Consider the following 9,671-nt stretch of genomic DNA (forward strand, 5'->3'; position numbering starts at 1 on the left):
CAAGGCGACACACGTCCCAAGCTTCCTGACCAAAACAGTCATCGCCGTGGGCCTCTGGTGCAGAGCCAGTGCTCACGCTGCAGTGAGCGCCTCTTCATTCGCCTCCCGTCCGTTTGGGGCAGATAGCTGACTCTGCAAGGAGCCTCCACACTGGCCAGTGGGTCCATCGGCGTTTTGCCTGCATGGGATACAAGGCCCTATTGTCCTGTGCCACCCCTCCCCCACGCCCACTGCCTCCCCAGAACCCTCCAGGCTGCAGCTCCTGTGTGAGATCGGGCCCCAGTCCTGCGGGGACTGGATGGGTGGGGGTGGGGAAGGGGCCTGGAAAGCAGGAGCAAAAAAAAAAAAGGAAGCAGCGGCCAGTAGGAGAGAGTTGGAGCCTATTAAAAAATACACATATATTCATAAAATAAATAATAAACCAAAACTATAAAGGTCTGGAATGAGCCGGTTGCAGTGGCTCCCGCCTGTAATCCCAGCACTTTGGAGGCCAAGGTGGGCGGATCACCTGAGGTCGGGAGTTTGAGACCAGCCTGACAAACGTGGAGAAACCCCATCTCTACTAAAAATACAAAAACATTAGCCAGGTGTGGTGGCTCATGCCTGTAATCCCACCTACTCAGGAGTCTGAGGCAGGAGAATCGCTTGAACCCAGGAGGCGGAGGTTGCGGTGAGCTGAGATCACACCATTTCACTCCAGCCTGGGCAACAAGAGCAAAACTCTGTCTCAAAAAAAAAAAAAAAAAAACAAAGTCTAGAATGATACATATTAAATTGTTGAGTGTGGTCTTCTCTGATGGGTGAGATCAGCTTTTCTTCTTCAGGTCATTATTCCATACTATCCAAAAAAGTTTAAACAACCATCTGTCACTTTTTTGTAAGAAAAAATATAAAGTTGCTTGAACTTGAAATGTGTAGCTCAAGCCAATGAAGCCGGGAGCAAAAAAAAGATATTAAGGAAAATTAAGTGCATAAACTGCCCATCTTGTCCCTTGACGGTTGCTGTGACACCAGTTCTAGATTATTCCTCATGCTACTGGGAGGGAGGAGTGGACCTTACGTAGCCCCTAGGGCAGTGTCCCCCTTTGCAGTCACGACACTCGTGGAGGGGACAGGGATCAGAGGACCCAGGAAGGTGCCAGAGGCCCCACAGCTGGGAGGGGCAGAGACGAGACCAAGGTCAGCGCAGTACCCACAGGAAGGGCAGAGGCAGGTACTCTCAGGACGCCCCAGCACCAGGCCTCCTGGGAAGGGGGGCAGCCCTGGGTCCAGGCACTCACCCCACCAGCTCTGTGATCACATGCTCGGCCCCATGGTGGGCCATGGATAGACAGGGGCAGAGGCACTAGCACCCCCAGCTTAGCCCCTGGCCTCCAAAGGAAAGGGCACCAGCAGTTGCCTCTGAAACATGGCCCTGGTATCCTACCCTGAGAAACAAATGTGATCTGACCTCCAGCTCACCCCCGTCTCCCCTCTGACCCACCCCAAATCCAGGCCCTGAGTCCTCCGCCCAGGCAGCTGCGAGGCGGGGCATGTGCTTTTAAGTACAGCTTTCCCCCGGTTTGGGCTGCTGCTGAAAATACACTGTTATTGACAGGCGACATGTGGAGAGCTCTTTCTGGTGTTGGAAAAACACAGTGGAGCCATTCATAATGCTGGTGTTAAGGGGCAGAAGAAATGCCCCCTTGGTGACAGACATCCCCATGTCCAGGCTCCAGTGCAACCTGGGACTCTGAGCCGGCACATGACATCCATGAGGATGAGCTCCATGCAAGCCAGGACTTCCCCTGCACAGGACTCTCCCCTGGAGCAGCCACAGCAAAGCACCTAGAACATGTGGCTGTAACAGCAAGTGGGTTTCCAGATCCCGGATCTCCTCCACCTGCTTCATCTGATTTGAATCACCCAACAGCACTGTACACAGGGGATTACACGCCATTCCCATTTCAGGGAGTGAAACTGAAGCAATGCTCTTCTGTAGCTCAGAGGCTTTGCAAATGCTGTTACTCCTGCTCAGATTACTTTTCAATGTGACCATCATAAAGTGGGCCAGAGTGAAGCATGTAAAGCACTTAGAAGCCCTGAGCCACCATTTAAGAAGCCTGGCTGCCCTGAAGCCACCGCCGGGAGAGAGAAGCCTGAGACGCCCCAGCACCCCGCAGCCCAGCCATTTGAGACATTCCAGCCCAGATGCCCGGAGAAAAAGGCTTTGAGATGAGCCCAGGCCCAGCCACCATCTCATGCAGCTGGTGAGAGATCCTGATTGAGACCCACAATGCTGACCCCAGGCAAGATCTGGATTGGGGAGCCACTGTTTGGGGGTATTTCGTTACACAGCAATAGCTGAGCCCCCCTTGGACTCTAGGGCCCTTGAGGAGAGGGTGACCAAAGCTGACAAATTGCCGTAAAGAGACCATGCCCCAGCTGAGCCGCCCTCAGCAAGAGCCTTGTGGGGACTATGACTTCCGGTTTCAGCAGCATTTCAGGAAACGCCGGTGACAAGGCTTTGGGAAGGGTGATGACAGTGAGGGCGGGGATGCTTGACTCTCCAGACAGTGACGATTCAGGCGGGAAACAGCAGCTACTTTGCTACAGGGATCCACGAAAGTGTCCAAGGAGGAGACGAGGCCGTAGCTGAGTGCACAGTGGGCACCCGGTGGAGGGGGGTTCACGTGCATTGTCACTTCTGCTCTCCCACCGCCCTGGGAGTCAGGCACGATTAGAACTCCATCTCTGGAGAGGAGGCTGGGAGATGTAGAATAACTCATCCAGGACACAGCCTGTAACTCCTGGAGCTTGGATTTGAACAAGGTTGGTCATTCTGCTTTCCTTATCGATAACAAAATGGATGGGAGGAAGGTGGGGGGAGGGGCCACACCATTGGACCTCTGCACCAAAAGTGTTCAATAGAGCTGTGCAGATTTAACATCCAGACACTCTGTCAAAGATGCCGGGGAAACTCTCCTAGGGCAGTTAGTGATGTGAAGCTCAATGGACTTAAGGGCTCTTACCCTCAGAGGGCAGCTCAGCCAGGCCTGGGTTTGACCCCTGCTCTTCCCTCGCCAACTGTACACCTCAGGCAAGTTAGCTCTTGTAATAACGTGTCCTCACACGGAAAACTGGCACAGTCCACATTCCAGAGGGTGGGGGTCCCATCGGACAATATGGATCTACCGAAGCCAGCATGGGATGGAAACTTCCTGAATAGCAGCTGCTTGGACCAATGTGATCATGTCATATCATGATCATGTCACGTCACCCGAGGACTGCACTCCCGGGCTCCCCTCCACGGCAGGATGGGAAGCCAGGTGTGAAAGTGCTACCTAGGAACACTGGGAAGCTCCCTGGGTGACCTGGGCTCCACCTGACCTGGCTGTGGTCCCCTTCCCTCCCCTCCGGAGGGACCGAGGGGCTTCCCTAACCAACAACGTCAGCCCCTTCCTCTTCTTTCTTGGCTTCTCCCTGACCAAGGCCAATGTCAGAAGATCTTCCCAGGACCTGTCAGCCACAGAGTGCGATTGTGAAAAGGGGGTCTGTCTATGCTGGGTGCGGAACCCTGGTCCTGTCTGTCTATGCTGGGTGCGGAACCCTGGTCCTGTCTGTCTATGCTGGGTGCGGAACCCTGGTCCTGTCTGTCTATGCTGGGTGCGGAACCCTGGTCCTGTCTGTCTATGCTGGGTGTGGAACCCTGGTCTTGTCTGTCTATACTGCGCGCGGAACCCTGGTCCAAGGATGCCCACCCCTCACCGGCTGCCCTGATAAACAGCCACATCTGGAGATGAGGGGTGACAGGAAAACCTTTCCTCCGCTGTGGCAGGCAGAAGAGCCTTTCCCAGCCGGGAGTGAGGCATCTGGAAACACTCAGAGACCCCATCTCCACTGTAAACACAGACAAAGCTAGAATACAGGCACATCGATAAGAAAATATAAGATGGGGCATGTCAGTCCCACACAATCCCAACAGTCAGACACAATAACTTTTTATTTCTTTATTTGAGGCAAGGTTTCACTCTGTCGCCCAGGCTGGAGTGCAGTGGCACAATCAAAGCTCACTGCAGCCTCAACCTCTTGGGCTCAAGCGATCCTTCTGCCTCAGCCTCCCGAATAGCTGGGACTACAGGCAGACAACACCACGCCTGGCTAATTTTTTTTTATTTTTTGTAGAGATGGGGTCTTGCTATGTCGCCCAGGCTGGTCATGGACTCCTGGGCTCCAGTGATCCTCCTGCCTCTGCCTTCCAAAGTGCTGGGATTATAGGCGTGAGCCACTCCACCTAGTCAACAATTTTTTTTAACATGTTGGTGTCATGCCAGATGTTTGAGGTGACGAACACCTTTGAAACTTTTATGGAAGTGTAATATACATAGGGAAAAGCACACGCATCATAGATGTACAGTTGGATGGCTTTTGCCAGTGCAATGTCTGTGTGCTGGTGTACGTGCAATGCTGAGTTACGGACCAGGAGGCCGGAGGGGCGTGTTCCATCCACACTGCATTCCACTAACACAGCTTCATTCTCTAGCCCTGTCCTTCCCTCCACCTCCCCTCCTCACCAACTCTTGCTCCTCCTGACACCAGCCCAGTTTTGAGAGCTTCGGGGAGCTCCGACTCACCTCCCCTGTGGGGTCAAACCCCCACAAAGAGCTCACAGAGCATCTCGGGCCTCTCCCTCAGGCAGTTGTAATTTTCCACTGATGTATGTGTTTGTCTCCCCCAGCTGGATGGGGACCCCCCAAGGGCAAGACCACCAGGCCTGCTATGCCCTCGCAGTTCCCTGCCCCTAGCCTTGGTTCCAACTCTAAAACGTGAATTCTCCTTCCAAGAGAGCTACCATGGCTTTCCTGAGACTCCCAGGGCCTCGGGAACCCACCACCCCACCTCTGAGTTGCCCACAGCCTCCAAGAGAAAACGGGAGCTGCTCCCCGAGTCCAAGCTCCTGATCAAGACTCCACAAAGGCGATGCCGAGCAGGAAGATTTATTAGCCCCTCGGCTCTGCTAAAAGCATTCTGTCAAAGAATTTGAAAAACGCATCTCAGATTCAGTGTTGGGAGACAGCTATTCCCTCTGAGCAGGGGAGGATGTGAAACCCATCAGTCCCTGGTGTGGCTTTCCAGGCCAGCCAGGGGATCAGATCCTGACGGACGGGGCGGCCTCAGAGGCCAGGCGCCGCGTCCTCCTGGAGAGGGGCCCCGCTGGAGCCTGGAAGGAGCGGGAGCTGGGCAGGCTGTGAAGGGGAAGGGGAAGATGGATGGGGCTGGGGGGAGCTGCTGACAGAGCGCCTGGAGGGGAATGAAGCTGGAAAAGATCCGCGCTGGGACGCAGCCCTCGGAAACCCTGGCGGGCTCAGCCTTGGCTTCACCGGGAGCCTTGGAGAAGAGGAAACAGAAGGCTGTCAGGGAGCAGCTTCCCGGACCACCCATCAGGGAACAGGGAGGACTGTACTCCTGGAAGCCCAGGCTAAACAGGCAGGGGTCCCAGCCCATTCTGGGTAGGTGGGGGCCTTTCCAATCCAGCTCTGTTTACCCCATCCCCACCCCTCACCCAGCCCCAAATCTGCTGGGATGGCCATTCGGTGTCCAGAATGTGATTTGAAACATGCACATTCGTAAGGAGGTAGTGCAGGACCCTGCCTGCCACCCGCTGATGCCCAGGAGCCTTTGCACCCCCCAGTCCTTCAGCCACGGACTCTTTCCCCAGGTCTTACCTTGGATACCTCATTGTATTTTAGCCCAAAGGTCACTGCATCAGACAAAGCCTCCTGGTCACACACTCTAGAGTATGTGGTATCACACCCATGGTCATGCACACACAGGCACATGTACCCCTATGCATGCACATGCTTGAATGCACACATGTGTACACATATTTACTCTCCACAATACAGCAAGGGGACTGGAGACCAGGCTCTGGAGGCAGACTGACTTATTCAGCTCCTGCCTCTGCCCTATGACCTTGGGGACATGACTTAACCACTCTGTGCCTTGGTTTCTTCATAAGTGAAATGGTGGCCGATGACACTGCCCCCTTCCTAAGACTACTTGCAAGGCGGGGCTGTTAGAGAGGGTAACACATGTGCAGGAGTTAGCCTGACAGAATTAGGACACAGAGGGAGAGGTGTCCCTGTCACCACATCACAGCACTCAACAGGACGGGAAGTGATCTTAGCTATTCACTGGTTCGCTCACCTCTCCTCTGTCTCCCTCCCCCAGCGCTTCGTGGAGCACAGAGAAGACTGGTAGGATGGACAGTGGATGAACGACGTTCTCAGTCTGTCCCCGGGATCCGGGTCATACACAGACCTCACACTCCACATGCAGAGTAACAAAGCAAAGCCTCCTTTGTAAGAGAGTGACAGTACAATGAGTTCATGCTCGGAAGGAAGCACCAGGCAAGTCCCTGCACACAATGGGCCCCTTAAGCAGGAGCTGAGTTCAGTGTCTCCTCTACTGCTCACATCATCCCTGCAATGCGGGCTTCCTAAGCTCTCCTTTTCTCTAGGCTGCCATTTACTGAACCACACTCTGTGCCAAGCAAGATGCTAAAGGCTTTCTACGCACTTCTTCCTGAGCTCTCACAACAATCCTATTGACAGGTGCTCCAACGATCTCCTTTTTGCTAAAGAGTTAACCGAGGCTTAGTGAGATTGGGTGGCATCCTTGGTCCCCAGAGAGCATGTGGTCCTGATTTGAACCCAGCAACGATCCCAGGCTCGCTCGGCTCTGACCTCACTTCCGCACACCACACTCGTGGAAGCTTTTATTGTACCCCTCATAAGACGGAGAAACCGAGGCTCTGGGAGAGCAAATGGCATGGCCAAGCACCCCAGGCCAACCCTGGTGGGCAGCTTATACTCGACTTGAATCCTCCTGTCTGAAATATGCGTTCCACTCTTCCCCACAGGACCCAATGCAGCAGTTCCGGAAGGAGGAATTCTGGCCCCCATTTGCCATAGTTGGAAAGCAGATTCATGTTGCATTCCCTTTGCCAATTTGCTTGCAGCGGGTTGATGAGGAGCAGCTCCCAGCTTGTCCCAGCCTTCATGTGGTAGGGGCTTCCAGCAACCCCCCCGCCCCAGCAAGGTCCTCACAGCGCCCCAACACTGTGGGGCTGTCCCAGCAGTGAGGCGATTAGCAGAATGATAGCAGCCAGCTGCTCGCTCCATCTGCGAGACAGACCAGAGCTGCTTGAGTGACACACTTGCAAGCTTCGCCCACGTTCCTCTCCCGGAATCACCGGGGCGGCCAAACCCCAGGAATCTGCCTGCTTGAAGGAATCAAATCCACCGTTTCACTGCCCACGCTCAGGACCCAGAGGGTCTCTTGAAATAAGGTTCATGAGGCGGCCTCTGGATTTGATTACAAGGAAATCTGTTCCCCATCTCAACCCCTCAACTCTCTCTGCCCTCGACTGCAGGAATGTGATGCCGGCTGATTTCTCAGCAACTCCCGCGTTTCTTGCAGACACTGGACCTGGAGCCAACTTTCTACCTGGCTTGTGCGATTCATAAATTACAGTGCAATCAAAAGACACATTCAGAAACTGCTGGAGGTTTCAATGAGTGAGCATATCGGTTTCCCAGGACAACAAACTGCCACACACTGGGGGGCTTACAACAGCAGAAACTTACTCTCTCACGTTCTGGAGGCCACAAGTCCCAAATCCAGACATCGGCAGGGCCGTGCTTCCTGCGGTGGCTCTAAGGGAGGGCCCTTCCTGCCTCTTCCGACTCCTGGTGGCCCCCAGGTATTCCATGGCTTGTGGCTGCATTACTCCAGTCTCTGCCTCCGTCTTCGTGTGGTCTCTCCTCGCTGTGTGTCTCTTGTCTGTGTGTCTCCTATAAGAACACATGTCATTGGGTTTACGGCCCAGCCAGGTAATCCAGGGTGATCTCACCTTGAGCTCCTTAACTTCACCACGTCTGCACAGGTGCTCTTTCTGAATGAGGTCAGCTTCACAGACTCTGGGGATGACTTGGACTTATTTGTTGGAGGGCCACCCCTGGACCGTATACAGTGAGTTTTATTCTTCCTTCTGAGGACATGAAGAAAGGGCCCTTGCCTCCCGGCCTGTCCCTGGAGAAGAAGAACTGACCTGGGCAGGGGGCAAGGAGGTGGAGAGGAGCTCCACCCTCAGCTGTGCCACGCCCTTGGGAAGCCTTGATCTCAGTCCCCACCTGCCCTGATCTTAGAGCTGGGACTTCAGTAGGAACCCCATCTGACCAACGCCCAGCCCTCTGAGTTTACATGCCAGAGGAGGAGCTGGACACTAAATGAACACAACAAAAGATGGATAGATAAATACGTCACATGGTGACAAATGCCGTGAAAGAAAATGCAGCAGGGTCAGGCATAAAGAATGATGGGTCAAGGCCTCCTCCTGGGCTGGGGATGAGGGCAGAAGGAGACCACGGGCACCAAGCCACTCACTTGGAGCCCGGGATCAACCAAACCCCGGAGCCCAGGATCAACCAAACCCTGGGTGCACAGGAGACACTGACACCATTGGGTCCCAGAGGAGACTGACTTCTAGTCCTCATTCTGCTACTAACCAGCCCCAAGACAGGGCAAGTTGCCTCCCTTTTCTAACTCTCAAACTTCTCCTCCCTAAAGCGGGATTGGTGTCACAAATGAGTTGATGTACCTAGAAGGCTCGGCACACACCCGGGGACCAGCCCCCAGCAAACAGTGGTGACTGTCACCTCCGTCCCTGAGTTCCAATGTCCTCCAAGGTGCCTCGTTCCCTCCAGCTCTAGCCTTCTATTCTCCACCCCCGAACTGGCTCCTCCATGTCTCCAACCACTGACCAAGGACCCCTGATTATTCCTTCCGTGTTCAGCGGTGCTGGGTGGGTGGATGCAGAGGTAGCTGGGCTGATGCTGTGGCTGTGTGACCAGCTGCAAACCAGGAGAGGCTCCCGGAACACCCGCTGCCTTGGTGGGGTGCCGGGCTTTGATAGGCTGCCAGGAGCGATAGCCAGGCCTGTTTGCTTTGCCTTATCGGAGTGTTTTTCACCAGCATTGCCCCATCCCCTCTGTTCCCTCATGGAGGTTATCAGCCGCACATCCGCTGCAGGGGTGAAGCCCCACGGGTAACCTTTCCCACGCCTGCCTCTCTGTGCCCAAGACCAAGCCCCTTCCTAACACCAGGTCCCTGCTCTTCTAGAGCATCTCCCCAGAAAGGGTGAGCTTGGAAAGAAGACTCCCACTCCCTTAGAATTGGCTCTTTCCGAAGTACTCCAGAACTCATCACTTCCAAGAAAAACCCTGGGGATGCGGACGCTGGAGGTGGGAGGCCTAGATGTTCTCTGCTACCAAGAGGCCAGCACATTAAAACCCACTGTGGCATCTGCTTTCTGAGGCTGCCATAACAAAGAACCACAGGCTTGGGGGCTTCAACAACAGGAACGTATTCTCACGTTTCTGTAGGACCCAGGTCCAAGAACAGGGTGTCAGCAGGGCAGGCTCCCCGCGGGCTGTGAGGGGACTCTGTCCCAGGCCTCTCGGGGCATCGGGTGTGTCATGGGTTCTTTGGCCTCCTTTGACTTGTAGATGCATGGCCCAATCTCTGCCTCCATCTCTGTGAAGGCTTCTCCCGGGTTGTGTATACCTCTACCCACGTGCCCTTTGTAAGGACACAGCCATATCAGATTAATGACCTCATCTTAACTTGAC

The 9,671-nt window shown here is 54.6% G+C and overlaps 1 annotated feature.

The window, feature by feature from the left end:
- Positions 1,293–1,793: an enhancer, noted in NCBI's record as "H3K27ac-H3K4me1 hESC enhancer chr16:86989033-86989533 (GRCh37/hg19 assembly coordinates)". NCBI's record gives its function as "activates a minimal SCP1, AML or CMV promoter by ChIP-STARR-seq in naive H9 embryonic stem cells {active_cell/tissue: H9 hESC(naive)}" and the evidence as "EXISTENCE:reporter gene assay evidence [ECO:0000049][PMID:30033119]".

Source organism: Homo sapiens, chromosome 16 (assembly GCF_000001405.40).
Source record: "Homo sapiens chromosome 16, GRCh38.p14 Primary Assembly".
NCBI classification, from domain to species: Eukaryota; Metazoa; Chordata; class Mammalia; order Primates; family Hominidae; genus Homo; species Homo sapiens.